Here is a 19,045-nt window from a genome sequence, read left to right on the forward strand (position 1 = left end):
AGCAGCCAGCGCCGGCCAGGGTCCCGGGCAGGGCGGGCGGCGCCCCCGGGGCTCACCTGGCCGCGCCCACCTGCGGCGCCTCCCGCCCAGCGCGCTCAGCCCGGCCCCGGCCCCACCCCCCAGCCCCTGCCGCCCCACGCGCGGCAGCAGGAGCCAGAGGCTAGACCGCAGGCAGCGCGGTGCCGGGGTTCATTCGGTCCGCGCATGTATCCGGGGTTCCTCGAGGGGCTCACAGCCTAAGCCACAGACAGGTAGAGCGCGGTAGAGGCTGCAAAGTGTTCTGAGAGTTTGGAAGCAAGTGCTTTGGGATCACGAAGGAGCGGGCGACCAGCTGAAGGTCTGCAGGGCGGGTCAATTAGGGTTCGCAGCATTCTGGGTAAGTGAACTTTTACTAGGGGAAGGGCACTCCAGGCCGTGGGATGGCAGAGCAAGGATTCCTCTGGAAGTTGACAGGTCGCTGCAGGTTCATGAAGAATTGGGGTGGGTGGGGGCAGTGCCTGATGCTGGATGGCTCTAGGGGAATGCTGGGGATTTTGACCTTCCCACCTGGTGGGAAGCCTCCTCCGGAGGAGTTGGAACTGGGAAGCTTATTGTTTTAGCCTAGTGAGTTATTTGCAGTGGGGTTGACAGAGTGGGGAAGAGGGAGGGAGGTTGGCGTGACCTTTTTCTAAAACTCTGATACACAGCCGACCCTCATCCCGGTCTGCGTTACTCTGAGAGGTGAATTGAGGAGCTTCCCTGCAAGAGGAATGTGCAGACGTGGAGGTGTGGAGTCCAGAGGCCTGGGATGGAGCTCCAGTTATATTTAACTCTGAGGCCTTGGACTGGACACTTAGCTATGAGCCTGTTTCCTCATCTGTAAAGTGGGAATTACAACTTGGGGAGGAGGCTAGGGCAGGACAGAAATGGGTCTGAAGACCAAATGAGGTGCTAGGTGTGGAGGCCATTCAGAGAGGGGGCTGGCCTGCTGCTGTGGATCAAGGGCATGTCCAGACAATGACCCAGTCTCCCCTTCCAGACAGCACAAAGTCACCCAGAAATGCCTTCCAGTCCCCTCACAATTGGGTACGCTGCTCTTCTGCAAAAGGCCTAGGGTGCATGTTGATTTGAGGTCCCAGCCCCACCAGTGGCTGCTGGGAACTCCTCTGCCCCAGCATCCTCCATGCAGCACTGCTCTGTGCCACCCACCGTCTGCCTCTGACATTCACTGTGAACCCCAGCCCCAGAGCTGCTGGGATGGAGCGCGAATCACATGCACACACACGTGTGGCCGCCTGACTCCTGGCTACACTCAAATGAAGGGAGATGTTGCAGCCCCCACAGCTGCCCCCGAGTGGCACCACACAGCCCTCAGGTCTAGAATTCTGCACCCTGAAAGGGTCAGGTTGGGGGTAGGTCTTCTTGGATGGCATTTTGCTGCGGAACAGCCACCTTAAGTGTCTTGGAGCAGCCATGGCTCATTAGCTAACTGCCTCAAGAGGGTGGGGTGTGGTCAGAGGTATGAGCAAGCCAGACCAGTACAGAAGAAGAGGCTGCCCCCAAAGGTCCAACCGAGGCTGGGGCAGGGCACAGAGCAGAAATCTTATGAAATAACATCACCCTGGCTGCCACCAAGGGAGAAGATCTGGGAAAACCACATCCTGCTATTTTGCCATAATGGGAAAAGACAGACAGACAGACACACACACACGAGCACAGAGACACACAACCTGAGGCCCATATCACCCATGGATAGTGGCAGGTTTAGACATCAAGGCACATACATACATACCTCCCCCCACACTTAGACCATGTATTCTATCTACACACGAGATGTGTATACATATGGAGGTGGTACTGATGCCAAGATACACAGATACCCATGCTGGCTGGGAGGCAAAGGCAGGCACACTGGCCACACAAGAGCATGCATGCATACACAGATGGGCACGAGCAACAAAGACATATTTGTGTATACATATACCCAGAGAGACAGATGCACATGAACGTACAGACTCCTACAAATGCAGTTACAGACCATGGACAGCAATGGGCACACAGTGGCACACACCTTCACAAAGATAGATGCATGTACACAAAGAGCCATATGCAGATGCAGAGACCGGTGTGCACACACACTCCCCTTACAAAGTTAAATGCATCGGAGTTAAAAGAGCATATCTCCAAACAGAGTCTCTCTCCCACTCTTTCCCCATCCCCCTACCCCCAAGTCACGGGGCAGACAATAGGGTCCTCCCAGAAGCACATGCCTGCACACAACACATCTCAAATAATGACACTGCCATTTCTATCATGGATAAAAACCCAAACTCTGCGAAGAATATGGGAGTCCAGGGGAGAGAGAGCCAAAGTGGAGAGTGAGAGGTTGAGCCAAGACCCACTGCATGCCCACTCCCACCATGGCCAGGGGGTTCCTCCCCACATTCTCCAGAGCCCCCAAGCCACTTCTGGGTCATCTAGCACTCAGGATGTGCAGACTGCCCCCAAGCTGGAGGAAGACTCCAAAGCCCAATCACAACATAAACTCTGCCCCCAGTCGCACTGCCTCCAGGCCCTTGCCCCCAAGGAAAGGGTTCCCCCAAATAGCCTTTGATGGGTGATGGCTGTCTCCCTCAAAAAAGGCCAGGCAACCGTCTGTGTGGAGAGGTGAGCTGGGAGACCACAGATAAAGAGGGGGAGGGGAGCATTGATTTGGACCCCAGTGCAGTGGCTGGATCTCAGGGAGGAGGCACCCTGATTTCTGTCCCCCTCTGTCTGCTTCCCTCTCTTTCTGTGCTGCAGTAACAGCTCTCTCTTCACTCCCCTCGGACGTCTCCCCCTCCCCTGGCCCCTCAGAGGCAGTTAAAGGTGAGGTCTGATACAAGGAACCTTTGACATGGGCTCCCTGGACAGGCATCTGCCCAGATGTCCAGCACCCCTGTTTCCCGCAGGGTGGACCTCCAGCTCCCCAGCATTCCTACCCTTTCTTTCACCTTTGTTCTCGGCCAGAGTGGGGGCTTCCCTGCCCAGCTCTGCACCTGGGAAAAGGGTTGAGAGTAACTGGCTACTGGTGTCTCTGAGAGACAACTTTTGGGGGCCAACTATAGCAGGAAAGGATTGGGCTGGGGAGAGGGGAGAGGACCACCCTCACCTAAGCCCTCTCCCCACTTCCCAGCCCGGGCGTCATCAGCACTCACCCAAGAGCATTCTCTGCCTTTGGAGGCACCACCGCGGAGTGCAGAACGAGGAGCAAATGAAACCCAGCCAGAGTGACAGAGGGAAGGGGGGGATGTGAGGGACAGGAGGGGAGGGCGCGAGGGAGGGACTCCTGGTTCTGCCTGGAAAGCAGCGTCGTTCCTGGGCCCTGTCTCTCTTTGCCAGGAAGGAGCTGCCCATTCTCTGGTTTCCCCCATCCCAACCACAGGTGGAAAGAACAGGGCATGTTCTTCCCCCAGGGGAGAAGTGTGGGGGCAAATGTGCAGACCAAGAACTGGGGGAGGATATCGGGGAGCATCCCTCACCCCCTACTCACAGAGGATTCCCTTGCCTGGGGCCTCTTACACTGAAGTGAAGGGTTGGAAGGACTGACTTTGTCCACAGGGACCTCCAGGGAAGGAGGAGCTGCTGGTCCTGCTCTGCCTGCTGGATGGCTCTTGCCGCCCTCTTGCCTCAGGACTTGCTGCTGCAGGAGCCCGTTTTCCTGCCCAGCCTCACTCATCCTCTCCTCACCATCCCCTTATGTTTAACTGCTGTTGCTGAAGAGGAAACTGAGCCTCAGAGAGGTGTTGCCACTTTATCAAAGAGCACTGGCCATGCAGGGTTTGGGGAGCAGGGATCCAGGTGTCTTGCCACTGTTAGTCTAGTACCTGGACCCTTGGATCTGCTATCTGGGCGATGCCAGGAAGGAGAGGAGGGAGTTTATCTGATCCACTAGAACTTCTTTTTTTTTTTTTTTCTGAAGCAGTGTTTCGCCCTGTCACCCAAGCTGGAGTGCAGTGGCAAGATCTTGGCTCACTGCAACCTCTGCCTCCCGGGTTCAAGCAATTCTCCTGCCTCAGCCTCCAGAGTAGCTGGGATTACAGGTGCCTGCCACCATGCCCAGCTAATTTTTGTATTTTTAGTAGAGAGGAGGTTTCACCATGTTGGCTAGGGTGATCTCGAACTCCTGACCTCAAATGATCCACCTGCCTTGGCCTCCCAAAGTGTTAGGATTACAGGTGTGAGCCACAGCACCCGGCCTGATCCACTACAACTCCTGACACCCCTCCCATGCCCACCCAAGATCCCCCAGCCCCATTCTTCTCCTCTCCATTCACTCCTTCCTCTCCCTCCTCTTCCTAAAAGCTGGCTCTTTACCGACCTGAGCACCTGGTGGCTGGGAGGGGGTGGAGTGGGGGAAGGAGGCAGCCAGCCCACAGCTGGATCCAGTCCTACATCCAAGCCCAGGTCCCGATGCTAGCCCCCGACCCCCTCAGCATCCTGTCTCCACCAGACAATAACCTGTAATCTCTGGAGCAGCCAACATTCACAAAGAAGATCTGGGAGGGGTTGGCAGCGGCAGCTCCTGAAAACAGGTTTGTTAGGAAGGGGCTCTGGGGGGAGGAGTTGTTTGTGTGGGGAGAGGAAGGAAACTCAAGCCCAGAGCTAATTAACCCACCCAGAGACACAGACAGAATCTTTGTCTTCTTCCAGGGCAGGGATCTGAGCTAAGCCCCCTAATTCTGTACCCAGACAGCCTTGCTTTTCCTGGTGGTCCTGGGGGAGGGGGATGCCAATGGTCAGGGTCACACCTGGGGGAGGGGGATGTGATGACATTCGGGAAGAGCGTGGGGCACTTCTGTCACCTGCCACCAAGGGAGAATAGCAGCAGGAGGCAGAGGCAGGTCAGACTGCAAGAAGAACTTCTCAGTGGCCTTGGGGGAGCACAGTTTCTTTGCAGCATGCACCCAAAGGCCTCAGTATGTGTGTGGGAGGCCGTGACTGGGGAGAAAACGGCAACCCAGGGAGATACCGAAGGATGGGAGACAGGCTGGAGGGCTTCCGGGGCCTCCTGATGGGACTGAAATTAATCCATCTGCAGGGAGTGGGGGTGAGAAGCTCATCAAGCCAGTGACTCAGGCGTGACTTGAGCTCAAGGTCTTTGATCTCTGGGGCCCAGGATGCAGCCAGAGGCTTCTGCAGTCAAAGACTTGGAAAGGGGATGGAGGGACCGATTCAAACAGGAGCTAGGGGAGGTCTGAGGATGCAGAGTAGGGGAGCCTAGATTTGGCCTGCCACTCTTACCACTACCCCTCTCCCGCTGGAAGGCACAGGGACATGTAGTGTAGCTGCAGCCTTCTTGGCCCTGAAATCCACTATAGTCTGACTCGATCTCTGCTAACCTGTCCCCCGTACTGTCTACCTTGCACTCCCTGACTAAGGTTCTTCAGGCCATTTCAGCAAGCCAGAGCTTAAGTCATTTCAGAAATGCCCTCCTCTCCCCTCTTGTGTCATGTTGCAATGGATGCCATGGGGCAGGCCCACTCTGAATTGGATGACTGGGTTCTTTCTACCAAGAGACAAGGGAGGGACTGGTTGACCTTAAGAAGCTAGTCTCCCCATCCCTAGCCAGATGGCTGGCATCTCCCCATTTTTCAGTTGAGCACACCAAGGGACAGGGCAGAGGAGTGGCCATGGGTCCCGAGCATTTGTGGAATCATCTGTTGGGACAGCCTGCCCTCTCTGGGCCATACTCCTCCCCATTCTCAAACATGGCTCAGTTGCTCCTAATATATGCTGTTCTCCTCAGCAGGGCATCAGAGAGGAGTGTGAGATAGAATTTAGAGCCAGAAACCTGGGGCTGGGTGCAAGGGCTCACACCTGTAATTCCAGCACTTTGGGAGGCTGAGGTGGGAGGATTGCTTGGGGCCAAGAGTTTGAGACCAGCCTGGGCAACATAGCAAGACCTTGTGATATGGTTTGGCTGTGTCCCCATCCAAATCTCATCTTGAATTGTAGCTCCCATAATTCCCTCATGTTGTGGGAGGGATCCAGTGGGAGATGACTATCATGGGGGCAGTTTCCCCCATACAGTTCTCATGGTACTGAAAAAGTCTCACGAGATCTGATGGGTTTATGAGGGGAAACCCCTTTCACTTGGCTGTCATTCTTTTGTCTGCCACCATGTGAGACGTGCCTTTCACCTTCCGTCATGACTGTGAGGCCTCCCCAGCCATGTGGAACTGTGAATCCATTAAACCTCTTTCTTTTGTAAACTGCCCAGTCTCTGGTATGTCTTTATCAGCAGCATGAAAATGGACTAATACACCCTATCTCTACAAAACTTTTTAAAAATAAAAAAAAATTTAGCCAGGCATGATGGTACATGCCTGTAGTCACAGCTACTTAGAAGGCCGAGGGAGGAGGACTGCTTGAGCCCAGGAGGTAAAAGATGCAGTGAGCTATGATTGTGCCAGGTACTCCAGCCTGGGCAACAGAACAAGACGTTGTCTCAATAAACAAAACAAAACAAAACAGAGTCAGAAACCTAGGACCCAAACCCAACTGTGTGGCCTTGGGTGTTACCTAATCTCCCTGAGCCCCACTCTCCCAGTTTATAAAGTGAGACTGAATGTCATCATCCGTGCCTAGGATGGCTGGGTGAGGAGGAAATGCCATGCTGCAGGTGCAAGTGCTTTGTTCAGCTCCTAAGCAGATCCTCTGTGTGGGGCTGGGGGTAGGTCATTGCTCCTTGCCCAGCTGTCCCCCGATGCCCTGTGCTGGCTCAACATCTGTATCAGAGGTTAGTGCGAGGGGACAGCAAACCTCTGTCTCTTTGCAGTTGTCAGAGAATCACTTAAAGTTATTTAGGGGTGTGCGCGCGCGCGCGCGCGTGTGTGTGTGTGTGTGTGTGTGTGTGATGGTCCATAGGGTCATGGAGTTCAGCCTTCTTCTGGGGAAGGTCCCTGTGCCACACCCCCATTGGGAGGAGAGGCAAGGGGGTGAAAGAAGGCTCAAGATGCATTCCTGAAGAATGAAAGAGGCCAGGCGCAGTGGCTCACGCCTATAATCCCAGCACTTTGGGAGGCCGACCAGGTGGATCACCTGAGGTCAGGAGTTTGAGACCAGCCTGGCCAATATGGTGAAACTCCGTCTCTACTAAAAATACAATATTAGCCGGGCATGGTGGCAGGTGCCTGTAATCCCAGCTACTAGAGAGGCTGAGACAGGAGAATCGCTTGAACCTGGGAAGTGGAGGTTGCAATGAGTTGGGATCACACCACTGCACTCCAGCCTGGGCAACAGAGTGAGACTCTGTCTCAAAAAAAAGAAAAAAGAATGAAAGGGCTTCCTGGGCAGGAGACAGATGGGGGGTGGGCAGGGTAAGTCGGGGCAGTGCTTGGAGGAGGGAGACGAAGTGTGGGTTCCTGCTGCTTCCTCCTCCTGTGCCCCTCCAAGGTATTCCAGGGCTCACTCAGTGCTGGGAGTAAGAATTCCAGGAGCCAGATACTGCTGAGGAAGGAGGCCTCTGACTGAGATCTTGGTGAGGAGGCTCAGAGAGGGGAGAACCACCCCCCAGTCTCCCTCCCACAGATGGCCTCAGGGGATGTGAGCAGGAGAGGGTCCCTGCCTTACTGCCTGTAACCACCTGTCACTGTGGAAGCCTCCAGCCCTGCAGGCCCCTAATCAAAGCGACAGCTCCCACGGAAAAGTGCCCCTCCTGGCTGCCAGAGGCCCGAGACCTCGTGTCTCAATCTGGCATGGCGCCCCGGACACTGAGTGCCTAGGACCAATGCAGCGCATTCAAGGCTGCCCACACTTAGCCTCAGCCTCCCTGGAATGGCTGTGGCCCTCTGCATTTTCCCCAGGGAGCCTCCACCAGGGAGCTCCACCCTAAGGGCTCTCTGCTTTGTGGAGAGGGGCACACTGGCCTAGTCCCCACCTGGGCAGAGCTGGAAGAGGCATCCAGGGCGGCTGAGGGGCCCAACGTGCTCCCCCTCGCCCTGCCCCCCACCTCAGGGGCAGTTGCTGGCATCTTTTTTTATTTTTATTTTTTGAGATGGAGTCTCTATCGCCCAGGCTAGAGCGCAGTGGCGTGATCTCAGCTCACTGCAACGTCTGCCTCCCGGGTTCAAGTGATTCTCTTGCTTCAGCCTCCCGAGTAGCTGGGACTACAGGTACCCCACAACCACACCTGGCTAATTTTTGTGTTTTTAGTAGAGATGGGGTTTCACCATGTTGGCCAGGCTGGTCTCGAATTCTTGACCTCAAGTGATCCACCCGCCTCGGCCTCCCAAAGTGTTGGGATGACAGGCATGAGCCACCGCGCCTGACCAAGTTGCTGGCATCTTCTTGCTGGGGGCCGCCCTCCACCCCCAGCTCTCAGATAACTGAGGAGACAGGAGAAAGCCAGGGGAGGGGAGTGGGTGTTGGGAGGGTCATGGCCCAGGGCAGGCCCAGAGTTCACCAGGCCAATGGAGAAGGCAGCTTCTCTAGCTGGAGCCCCAGAATTCCAGGGCTCCTGGAAATCTAAGGACCCGTCCCCACTGCCTTAGGCACAGCTATCACTCCCCTCCCCTGCCCCACTCCCACAGTGCTGGTCACTCCTCCTAGGCTGGGTGGCTGAAAAGGTCTGGTTCCATGTCTGCCTCCTCCTCTAGACTGTGAGTGCCCAGAGGCAGGTACCAGGCACTGCTCAGTGGTACTGCCCAGCATCCTGCCTGAGCCCAGCACAGGGCTGGAGGGAGAGGTGACAGATGACACACAACGGATGGCCAGTGACTTCACAGGTCCAATTTAACAATCTGGACTGGAGTATCAGGCCTCACGTCTCCTGATGACCCCTAAGATGGTGCCCCCACGCCCCCGTTCTGACCCAGTACTGAGGGGCATGGGGACTGTGGGAAGAGGAAAACCAGGTAGAGGGGGAGTCCGCAGCCATCTGGGCAGCCTGTCTCTAGCTGGGACTCTCTTCTGGAGCTGTGACCTTTTTTGTTGTTGTTGTTTGTTTGTTTGTTTAAGACAGAGTCTCATTCTGTCGCCCAGGCTGGAGTGCAGTGGTGCGATCTCAGCTCACTGCAACCTCCGCCTCCTGTGTTCAAGCGATTCTTGTGACTCAGCCTCGCCAGTAACTGGGATTACAGGCATGTGCTACCATGCCCGGCTAATTTTTGTATTTTTGGTAGAGACGGGGTTTCACCATATTGGCCAGGCTAGTCTCAAACTCCTGACCTCAAGTTATCCTCCTGCCTCAGCCTCCCAAAGTGTTGGGATGACAGGCGTGAGCCTCCGCACCTGGCCCTGGAGCTGTGGTCTTTTCTCCTCTCCCCACACCTGCTCCCTTCATCTTGGTGTGGTGGGATTGGGAAGGGAGGAGCTTTTACCACAGGGACCGTTGCCCAGGAAGTAAGACCTGAAGAGGCTGTGTTACAAGAGGAACAAAGACCAGACAACATCCTCAGCCACAGGACTGGCCTTCCCCACTCAGTGTCAGCCCTCCATTTCTGTCTCCCTCTCAGCACCCCCTTTCTGATAACTGAGCTGCCCTCTGTGGCACTGCCTAAGCTAGAGGTGTCCGTGGCACCCCCCACACACCCCACATCCCATTGGCCACCAAGTCTTGACAGTTCTGCTAAAGAAAAGGCTCCAGAATCTATTTCTCCATTTCACCTCACTTTCCTTCTTATGTACCCTCGAGCCAGAGACACCTAAAAACACTAACTGCTCCTGCTCAAACCGCTTCTGCAATGCCCATCACCTTCAGAACAAAGGTCAAAGCCCAGCCTGGTGGCAAGGCTCTTGCAGGTGGCTCCCGCTGTCCTCTCCACACCCTGCACACTCCCTGCACACACCCAGCACACTGATGGCCAGTGACTTCACAGGTCTGATTTAACAATCTGGACTGGAGTACCAGGCCTCATGTCTCCTGATGACCCCTAAGATGGTGCCCCTCCCCACCCAAAGAGCCATGGGCTTGCAGGCCTCAATGCCTTTGCTCCGGCTGCTTCCCTGCCTGGGATCCTCTCTTTGTCTCCAGTATCCACGATCAATGTCACTTCCCATGTCAGTTTGCCTCTCCCTCCTCTGACTTCTATTTTTATTTTATTTTTTTTGAGACAGGGTCTCCCTCTGTTGCCCCGGCTGGAGTGCAATGGTGTGATCTCAGCTCACTGCAGCCTCCACCTCCTGGGCTCAAGCAATTCTCGTGCCTCAGCCTCCCAAGTAGCGGGGACTACAGGTGCTCACCACCACACCAGGCTAATATTTTGTTTTTTTAGTAGATGAGGTTTCGCCATGTTGCCCAGGCTGGTCTCGAACTCCTGAGCTCAGGCAATCTGCCCGCTTTGGGGTCCCAAAGTGTTGGGATTACAGGCGTGAGCCTGGCCCCTCCTCTGACTTCTTGAGGCACCCTGAATCCACCTCTAGGAAGCCTGTTATTATCTTGGAACAAACTCATCTGCATATGTATTTATTTAGATAGCTTTTTCCTGACAGGCAGATATGATGTCTTTTAAAAACATGAATCTCCCAAAAGCAGCTTACACCTAGTAGGTGGTCAATAAATATTTGGTGAATTAATGAGTTAATTTTTTTTTTTTTTTTTTTTTTTTTTTTTTTGAGACAGGGTCTCACTCTGTCACCCAGGCTGGAGTGCAGTGGCACAATCTCGGCTCACTGCAACCTCCACCTCCTGGGTTCAAGTGATTCGTCTGCCTCAGCCTCCCGAGTAGCTGGGACTACAGGTGTGTGCCACCATACCTGGCTAATTTTTGCATTTTTAGTAGAAATGGGGTTTTGCCATGTTGGCCAGGCTGGTCTCAAACTCCTGGCCTTAAGTGACCCACCTGCCTCAGCCTCCCAAAGTGCTAGGATTACAGGCATGAGCCACCATGCCCAGCCAATGAGTGACTTTCGAATCCAGACAGACACATATGCTCCAGAAACACCCATCAGTCAGATACTCTCTTGCTCAGAGTCATGCTTTTGGTGTCCAGCCTGAAATAATTGGGTGGGGAGGAGCTGGTCCCAGTCACCAGAGCACCCTGGCCTTTGCTTATGCCGTGACCTCTGCCTGTAATGCCCCTACTCCCCTCATCCATGTTCCGAGGCTCAGCCCCCTCTTCCTTCAGGAGACTTTCCTGCTGCCCCCAGGGACTGCAGCTTTGCCTTTGTGCCCTGAGGGTATGTCCCATGTGGCAACCACAACCCTTATCCCTTTTCACATGTGTCTCCACCCAAAAGACCCACTCAATCTTGGGGAGGGTGGTAAGCAGAGAGATTGGATCTTACTTGTCTCTGGCCTACAGGATTGTGTGTGTGGAGCGGGGGACACAGTGGGTGCCCCATGAATATCACCAAAAGAGAAGACAGCCCTCAAGAGGGTGTCTGAGGTCAGAGTGTAGCCTCCGGCAAAACTGCCAGCCTGGGCTGCAAGGTAGGTTTCTGTTGGCCTCCCCCAGGAGCCAGGGGTAAGTTCCTGCCTTTCCCACCTCCCCACACTGAGCCTGAATGTGAATCTGTTTGCTCTGCCAACAGCAGCCTGGGTGGTTCTTACTTTCCCTATGGCCCCTGTGCACCTGTCAGCTAGAATCACCCTCATGGAGGCATTCACCCATTTCCCCCAGAAATCTGCCTTGCAGCCAGCTGCCCCTTCCAAGCTCATAGCCAAACCTCTGCAAAGTCACCCCAGCTAGGGAGAAGCAGAAATCCTGGCCAGGAGTCCAAAGGAAGAGGGGCCTCCCCCTTGTCCCTGGGTTGGAGTGCTGTGTACCTTGCTGACCTTGGCCTTCAGAGACCACAGACCTGAGCTGGAGCCTGGGACCCCCACCCCGCAGATGAGGCCCTTGTCTGAAAGCCTGTGGCTACCAGGAGGCTCCAGGCTGGAGAAGTGCTGCTTAGGAGTCCTGATCCCAAAAGATCCCACAGGGAGAGTTCCCTAGAAACAAAGACCCAAGAGGCGGCCTAAGGACCCACAGATTCCGAGAGGTCCTACAGAAGGGTTGTCCAGATGCAGAATAAAACTTGCTGGCATCGGGGAGGCTTCAGACCCTAAGACCCCATTGAGGGCACCCCAGACGCAAAGACCCCCATGGAGGGAGGCCACAGACCCAGAGCCCCTCAGAGGGGCCCAGACAGAGATACTCCCCAAACCAAATTTGTGGGAGCAGCGTCCCCTCTACACTGACCTGGCCCTGAGGGGCTCTTCCCCAAGCTGAGCTGCCGAAGCCGCCTCTGGTGGGCCCGCCCCCCACAGTGCACCTGGGCCTGGGCCGCCGAGTTCAGCTGGATGTTGCAGACATCACAGAGCGTGTACGATGGCCGCTTTCTTTCTCGCTTGGGCTTAGGTGGTTCTGGGGGCCGAGGGAGGCACTCAGCAGCTCCAGATATGGGGGTCTCCTTCTCAGCCGGTGGGGGTGGGCTCAGTGGCCGCTTCATATCTGAGTGGATAGAGAGGGAGATGAATGAACGCCAAATGGTTGCGAATTCTTAGAGAGAGCAGGAGGGGCTCAAGACCGGGAGACACGGGGCTCTGTATCCTCTATATCCCTCTGAAATGCCCCAGCCCGAGGATGGTGGAAGGGCGCATAATGGGGTCTATTTCAAGCAAAGCAGCATTAAAACTTGGGACTCTTGGCTGTGGCTCACGCCTGTAATCCCAGCACTTTGGGAGGCCGAGGCGGGCAGGTCACCTGAGGTCAGGAGTTTGACACCAGCCTGACCAACATGGTGAAACCCTGTCTCTACTAAAAATACATAATTTGCTGGGCATGGTGGCGCATGCCTGTAATCCCAGCTACTCAGGAGGCTGATGCAGGAGAATCACTTGAACCCGGGAGGCGGAGGTTGCAGTGAGCCAAGATCGGGTGTCATTGCACTCCAGCTTCCACAACAAGAGCAAAACTCCATTTCAGAAAGAAAAAACAAACAAAAAACAAAAACAAAAACAAAAAAACTTGGGACTTTCTGGAAGGGTGTCCGACATGTCTACACACGGGGAGGCCAAGACACCTGGGGACTCGGAGGGCCGCAGAACATATCTCAGAGAGGCGGACTGGGGTCTTGGAGGAAAGGTGGTCACTGAGGGAGAGGCAGTGGCAAGGCCAGCTGAGTCACATTTGAGGAAGCGAGAGTCCTGTTCTCAGCTCTACAGCAAGCGCTGGCAATCCTGTGACAGCCAGGCATGTGGCGCTTACTGGAGACGCAGCAGCCGCCAGCCAAAAACACAACCTTCCTGTGCCCTGCACCCAGCAGGGTGACATTCACAAATGGTGACAGTGTGTGAAGCCATCCCAACCCCTGCTCCACGTGGCTCCAGATGCCCCCTGCTGTCTTGGCAACCGAGGCCGAGGCAACAGTTGGTGGTTTCGGTAGAGACCTGAGCCTTGCTGCCTGGGTCGGCTGAAGACAGCGCCCCTGCCCCCGCCCTGTCCCCCAACGCGCGCACACGCACATACACACACACACACACACACACACACACACACACACACACACACACTTTCTGTCTCTTCGGGACCCTCAAGTGGCCCCTCCAGGCCCCCATCTCCCATAGACAGTCTTTCCTTTCCAAGTCACTTCTCTGAAACTTGCCCTGCCTGACTTGTCTGCCTCTAACCATTTCTATTCTGGGGCTGCTCAGTGAATTTTGCCTTCTCTCGGAAATCTGCGTGCATGCTTCCTGCCTCTGCTTCAGACAGGGGCTTCCTGAGAGCAAGATCTGTGTCCCTCCCTCAGGCTGGGGCAACCCCAAGGCTAGGGCCTGGGTGAGTCATACTGAGCCCATCTCTCCTGTTATGGACTGAAGTGTGTCCCCTCAAAATGCATATGTTGAAGTAATAACCCCCAGTACCTTAGAAAGTAACTCTATTTGGAGATGGGGTCTTCAAAGAGGTAATTAAGTTAATGAGGTCATACCGGTGGGCCCTAATTCATATGATGGGTGTCTTTATTTTTTTCAAGATGGAGTCTCGCTGTGTCACCCAGGCTGTAGTGCATTGGTGTGATCTCGGCTCACTGCAACCTCCACCTCCTGGGTTCAAGTGATTCTCCTGCCTCAACTCAGCCTCTCAAGTAGCTGGGACTACAGGTGTCCGCCACCACGCCCAGCTAATTTTTGTATTTTTAGTAGAGACAGTGTTTTGCCATGTTGTCCAGGCTGGTCTCGACCTCCTGACCTCAGGTGATCCTCCCACCTTGGCCTCCCACAGTGCTGGGATTACAGCCATGAGCCACTGCACCCAGTGGGAGACAGAGTCTTACTCTATCACCCAGGTTGGAGTGCAGTGGCACAATCTCAGCTCACTGCAACCTCTGCCTCCCGGATTCAAGCAATTCTCCTGCCTCAGCCTCCTGAGTAGCTGGGATTACAAGCATCTGCCACCATGCCCAGCTGATTTTTGTATTTTTTTTTAGTAGAGATGGGGTAGTGCCATGTTGGCCAGGCTGGTCTCGGACTCCTGGCCTCAAGTGATCTGCTCACCTCAGCCTCCCAAAGCGCTGGGATTTCAGGTGTGAGCCACCGCGCTGGGTCTCATATGACTGGTGTCTTTATAAGAAGAGGAAATTTAGACACAGATAGTTATAGAGGGAAGACCATCTTCAAGCCAAGAAGAGAGGCCTTTGAAGAAATGAACCCTCCTGACACCTTGATCTTGGACTTCTAGCCTCCAGAACTGTGAGAAATTACATCTCCACTGTCGAAGCCACTGAGTCTGTGGTACTTTGTTATGGCAACCTGAGCAGACAAGCTCATCTCCCCAGAGGGCATTTCCTGTGTTCTGAGGCCCATGCTTACTTTGCAGATCAGACCAGTCCAGTGATGTCACAATGTCTTCACAAGACTATACATCCAACAGTGGAGCCCGCATCTGAACAAGGAAAATTAATTTTACAAGCCCAAGGCCAAAAACCTGCCTGTAGTCCCCAGATGCCACCCCCATTCTCAGTAAGCTGCTTGTCCTTTTTGTGAGCAGTGATCCCACATAACATGTCTGTCGTGACAAGTGTGGGGACTGTGTGTGGATGGAACAGAGGAGCACAGCGATAAGGGCAGGAGCTCTTTGAAATTTTATGTATGTTTAAAATTTCAATAGAGACAGGGTCTCGCTATGTTGCCCAGGCTGGTCTTAAACTTCTGTGCTCATGTGGTCTGCCCGCCTCGGCATCCCTAAGTGCTGGGGTACAGGCATGAGCCACCATGCCCAGCCAAGAGCAGGAGCTCCATGCTGATTCATACCTGGGTTCAAATCTCAGCTCTGTCACTCACTGGCTGTGTGACCTGAGCTCAGTTCCTTCGTCTATACCTCTGTAGAATGGGAGTGATCAATAACAGTTCCTAAGTCATACACACATTGTGGGGATTAGATGAGCTGATCTATAATCTATGTAATATGCTTCTCGGTGCCCTACAAAATCAGCTGTTTTTTGTTTGTTTGTCTGTTTTGTTTTGTTTTGTTTGAGACAGGGTCTCACACTGTTGCCCAGGCTGGAATGCAGTGGCACTATTTTGGCTCACTGCAACCTCTGCCTCCCGGGTGCAAGTGATTCTCCTGCCTCAGCCTCCCGAGTAGCTGGGACTACAGGCGCGTGCCACCACTCCCAGCTAATTTTTGTATTTTTAGTGGAGACAGGGTTTCACAATGTTGGCCAGGATGGTCTCGATCTCTTGACTTCGTGATCCGCCCACCTCGGCCTCCCAAAGTGCTGGGATTACAAGCGTGAGCCACTGGTGCCCGGCCAATCAGCTGTTATTAACACATAGTGTGTCTGTCTCTTGCAGCTTGTGAGTGAAGTCTGTCACCCTGTGTGTCTGTCATGATGTACCTGGGTCACTGCAAATGTCTGTTACCCCATCGTTTGTTGAGGTGAATCTATGTCACTCACTCTGTGTGCATGTCGTAGTGTAGCTGTGCCATAGTGTGGGTGTCATTGTGCCCAGACCATGAAATGAGACTGTCACTGAACATCTGAGACTCACTATGTGATATTGGTTGAATTATGTCCCCCAAAATTCAATATGTTGACATCCTAATCCCCAGCACTTCCAGAATATGACCTTATTTGGAAATAGGGTCGTTGCAGATGCTATTAAGATAAGGCCAGACTGGTATAGGGTGGGCCCGTAATCCAATATACATGACTGGTGTCCTTATGAAAAGGTGAAATTGACTGGGCGCAGTGGCTCACGCCTGTAATCCCAGCACTTTGGGAGGCCGAGGTGGGTGGATCACGAGATCAGGAGTTCAAGACCAGCCTGGCCAACATGGTGAAACTCTGTCTCCACTAAAAATACAAAAAAATTAGCCAGGCGCGGTGGTGGGTGCCTGTAATCCCAGGTACTCAGGAGGCTGAGGCAAGAGAATTGCTTGAACCTGGGAGGCAGAGGTTGCAGTGAGTCGAGATCGTGCCATGGCACTCAAGCCTAGGTAACAGAGCAAGACTCCGTCTCAGAAAAAAAAAAAAGAGAGAGAGACAGGGTCTTGCTCTGTTGCCCAGGCTGAAGTGGAGCAGTGTGATCATAGCTCACTGTAACCTCAAACACTTGGGCTGAATAGATCCTCCAGCCTCGGGCTCCCAAAGTGCTGGGATCACAGTTATGAGCCACTGCGCCCAGCCTTGCTGACACATATTGATCTTGGACTTTTAGGATCCAGAACTGAGACAATAAACTTCTACTGTTTAAGTGCCACCCAGCCTGTGGCACTTTGTTATGGGAGCCCTAACAAACTAACGCGCCATAGATCTCACCCTGGTGTGGTCATAAGTGCTTGGTGATTTGATGGTCCAAACCCTGCTGCTAGGGTTTGGATGTTGTGGCTGGGCGGCAGTCCCACAGATAGCCTCCAGGTGGCGCAGCAAACATCCAGTGGGAAGGTAGGTGAAGACTCCGTACCCCCTGGGCATGACAGACCCCAGTCCCCACACTCAAGGGGCAATGCAGCTGTCTCCTGGAGCCACACCACGGGTCCAGGGTATAGCTCTTCCCACAGAGGGCACACTGGAGGTCACTGCCATTGTGAGAAGGCCCCATTACTGCATGGAGCCCCCCACCAATATTTTGCACCTTCTCACCTCTAGATGGAGGTCATCACAGCGACTCTCCTGCCTCTCCATGTCCTCCCCAACTCTCCCAGCAGGAGGAGGCAGGAAGAAGGTCTTAGGTGCAAGTGTTGGTGGGGGGAGAGGTCCCATTCCCCGGGTGGAGGCTTCAGAGGAATGAGATTTTCCTGGCCATGCCAAGGAGAGCTGCCTGCCCCGCCAGCATGGGGACAGGGGTATTTTGAAATCTCAGTGCAATTTATGACAGGCGGGCCGGGGACATCGCCCAAGAGAGCAAATATCTGCCACACAGCTGATTAAACCTCTGTGATATATAGCCTCTGGGCTCACGGGGCCGCCTGGATTCTGGGCTAATTGTGTTCCCCCCAGCCAGGCTGCTGGGCCTGCTGCAGCCTGCCCTGCCTGACCCAGCCTTCCCAGCTGTTCCCTTAGGAGCCACACTGCCCCAGCTAAGCTAGGGGAGCCCAGTCAGAAAGTGTGGACGGGTGGGCAGTGACGGGGGCACACAGGTCTGTCTAACCCTGCCCTGAGCATCGGCAGCTCGGCATCCCCAACCCTGGCCCCTACTCAGAGCCAGCATGACCCACGCTAGCAGGACCTACACTTGGACAGGACCTAGTCCACATGCTGCCTTAAGCAGATGGGGAAACTGAGTTCCAGAGCAGGGCAGTGGACTTGCTTCAAAGCAAATGGAAAGACGATGCATGAGCTGATTATAGAGGCTTCCCTGTCTTTCTCTTCGCCCCCCAGCTGCTTACGTCACATCTTCTTTATGAAATAACAACCCCATTTATTGAGGGCTTACTGTGGGCCAGGTGTTTGACAAAAAGGGTCTTTTTTCTTTTTTGGGGGGGATAGGGTTTGACTACGTTTCCCAGGCTCCAGGCTGGCCTCAAACTTGTAGGGATCAAGTGAACCTCCTGCCCCAGCCTCCCAAGTAGCTGGGATTACCGGCATGTGCCACCATGCCCAAACAGGATCTCTCTTAAACTTCACAATTCCATGAGATGAGCACCATTATTAACCTGTTATCCCACTGCATAGATTAGAGAACAGGCTTTGGGAGGTTCTGTGGCTGGACCTGGACCTATGCTTGTCTGACTCAAAGCCCAAGTCCTTACCCACTGCCCCATCCCACCTCTCCTTAAAGCCTGCCAAATCCTGACCTGAACTGATGGGTGGGGAGGGGGCCACAGATTCAGAGAAGGGCTCTGGGGAGGGGCAGGGTTGTGCAGCCTCTATCAGGCCCTGTGCCTCGCAGAGACGGGCTACACCCTGGGTAGAAAGAGGTGGGGCCAGAGCCAAAGAGGTGGGGAGGAAGGACAAGGGGAAAGCAGAGAAAAAGCGTGTATGTACCCATCCATCTGTCTGTCTGTCTGTCTGGGATTTCTACAGGAAGCTGGTTAAATCTCCCTCTGTTCCCTGTCTTCCCTGAGAGATGGGCTGAGGCTGCTGCAGAGAGGGTAGGGGTTGGGCCCTGGGAGGGAGCCACCCACTTGGAGGCAGGCTCACACTACCTGTGCTGGAGAGCTGTGTAGCCCAGTTTCTGTCTGCCTGTCTGCCTGTGTGTCCATCAATGTGGAGCTGGGGGGTGGGTTGGGGGGAGCACGCAGGCAGGGCTCTGGGGTCCCATCTCCACCACTTCTGGTTGGGTGACAAATGCACGTGAGGTCCCTGGGTTTCCATGGGGTCCTTGGCCACCGTGAGGTGATGAGATTCCCTGCCTGTCCATCCAGAGAGGGCTGAATGGAGGGGACTGTGGAGGCCAGAAAACAGGCAGCAGACGGTTGTTTCTGCTGCAGCCTGGGAAAGGAGTCCTCCAGAAAAGGCTGCTTCTCCTAAAGAGGTAACCGGAGAGGAAGGTTCGAGACCTGTCCCCAGCCTTTGGCAGAGCATGAAGGGTTCCCTCCTCAAACCCTTAACAAGCCCAGTTACCCTCTGGCATTTTCCTCCATGTCAGCCAACAGCCACCCTCCCGCCTCCCCAGCCTACTTCCCAGACCAGGCCAGGCTGGCTGGCCGGCCAAACT

At 54.5% G+C, this 19,045-nt stretch overlaps 1 protein-coding gene across 8 annotated transcripts in view, besides 7 other annotated features; it reads right to left on the bottom strand.

Moving 5' to 3' along the window:
* The window catches only part of ZNF385C (zinc finger protein 385C), a 72,898-nt gene that overhangs the window by 25,088 nt on the left and 28,765 nt on the right, over window positions 1-19,045 (bottom strand). For 5 of the 8 annotated variants that reach the window (NM_001378270.1, NM_001392014.1, NM_001392013.1 and 2 more), the window contains exon 2: window positions 12,144-12,395. In NM_001378270.1, coding sequence (NP_001365199.1) covers window positions 12,144-12,393 — 250 coding nt within the window. In that variant the 5' untranslated portion in view covers window positions 12,394-12,395. Of the gene's footprint in view, window positions 1-3,176; window positions 3,217-12,143; window positions 12,396-14,752; window positions 14,826-19,045 lie in introns of those variants that run through there. The other 3 variants (NM_001392015.1, NM_001392017.1, NM_001392018.1) reach the window with 3 other exon arrangements.
* Window positions 27-96: a silencer, noted in NCBI's record as "silent region_8512". NCBI's record gives its function as "represses an Ori minimal core promoter by ATAC-STARR-seq in GM12878 lymphoblastoid cells {active_cell/tissue: GM12878}" and the evidence as "EXISTENCE:reporter gene assay evidence [ECO:0000049][PMID:35858748]".
* Window positions 716-1,217: an enhancer, noted in NCBI's record as "H3K4me1 hESC enhancer chr17:40203397-40203898 (GRCh37/hg19 assembly coordinates)". NCBI's record gives its function as "activates a minimal SCP1, AML or CMV promoter by ChIP-STARR-seq in naive H9 embryonic stem cells {active_cell/tissue: H9 hESC(naive)}" and the evidence as "EXISTENCE:reporter gene assay evidence [ECO:0000049][PMID:30033119]".
* Window positions 11,383-11,973: an enhancer, noted in NCBI's record as "H3K4me1 hESC enhancer chr17:40214064-40214654 (GRCh37/hg19 assembly coordinates)". NCBI's record gives its function as "activates a minimal SCP1, AML or CMV promoter by ChIP-STARR-seq in primed H9 embryonic stem cells {active_cell/tissue: H9 hESC(primed)}" and the evidence as "EXISTENCE:reporter gene assay evidence [ECO:0000049][PMID:30033119]".
* Window positions 13,068-13,362: a silencer, noted in NCBI's record as "tiled region #8946; K562 Repressive non-DNase unmatched - State 7:EnhWF". NCBI's record gives its function as "represses a minimal TATA promoter and a strong SV40 promoter by Sharpr-MPRA in K562 cells {active_cell/tissue: K562}" and the evidence as "EXISTENCE:reporter gene assay evidence [ECO:0000049][PMID:27701403]".
* Window positions 13,357-13,456: a silencer, noted in NCBI's record as "silent region_8513". NCBI's record gives its function as "represses an Ori minimal core promoter by ATAC-STARR-seq in GM12878 lymphoblastoid cells {active_cell/tissue: GM12878}" and the evidence as "EXISTENCE:reporter gene assay evidence [ECO:0000049][PMID:35858748]".
* Window positions 16,588-16,882: a silencer, noted in NCBI's record as "tiled region #13373; HepG2 Repressive non-DNase unmatched - State 4:PromP, and K562 Repressive DNase matched - State 12:CtcfO". NCBI's record gives its function as "represses a minimal TATA promoter and a strong SV40 promoter by Sharpr-MPRA in HepG2 and K562 cells {active_cell/tissue: HepG2 | K562}" and the evidence as "EXISTENCE:reporter gene assay evidence [ECO:0000049][PMID:27701403]".
* Window positions 17,358-17,858: an enhancer, noted in NCBI's record as "H3K4me1 hESC enhancer chr17:40220039-40220539 (GRCh37/hg19 assembly coordinates)". NCBI's record gives its function as "activates a minimal SCP1, AML or CMV promoter by ChIP-STARR-seq in primed H9 embryonic stem cells {active_cell/tissue: H9 hESC(primed)}" and the evidence as "EXISTENCE:reporter gene assay evidence [ECO:0000049][PMID:30033119]".

This window comes from Homo sapiens, chromosome 17, assembly GCF_000001405.40.
Source record: "Homo sapiens chromosome 17, GRCh38.p14 Primary Assembly".
NCBI lineage: Eukaryota > Metazoa > Chordata > Mammalia > Primates > Hominidae > Homo > Homo sapiens.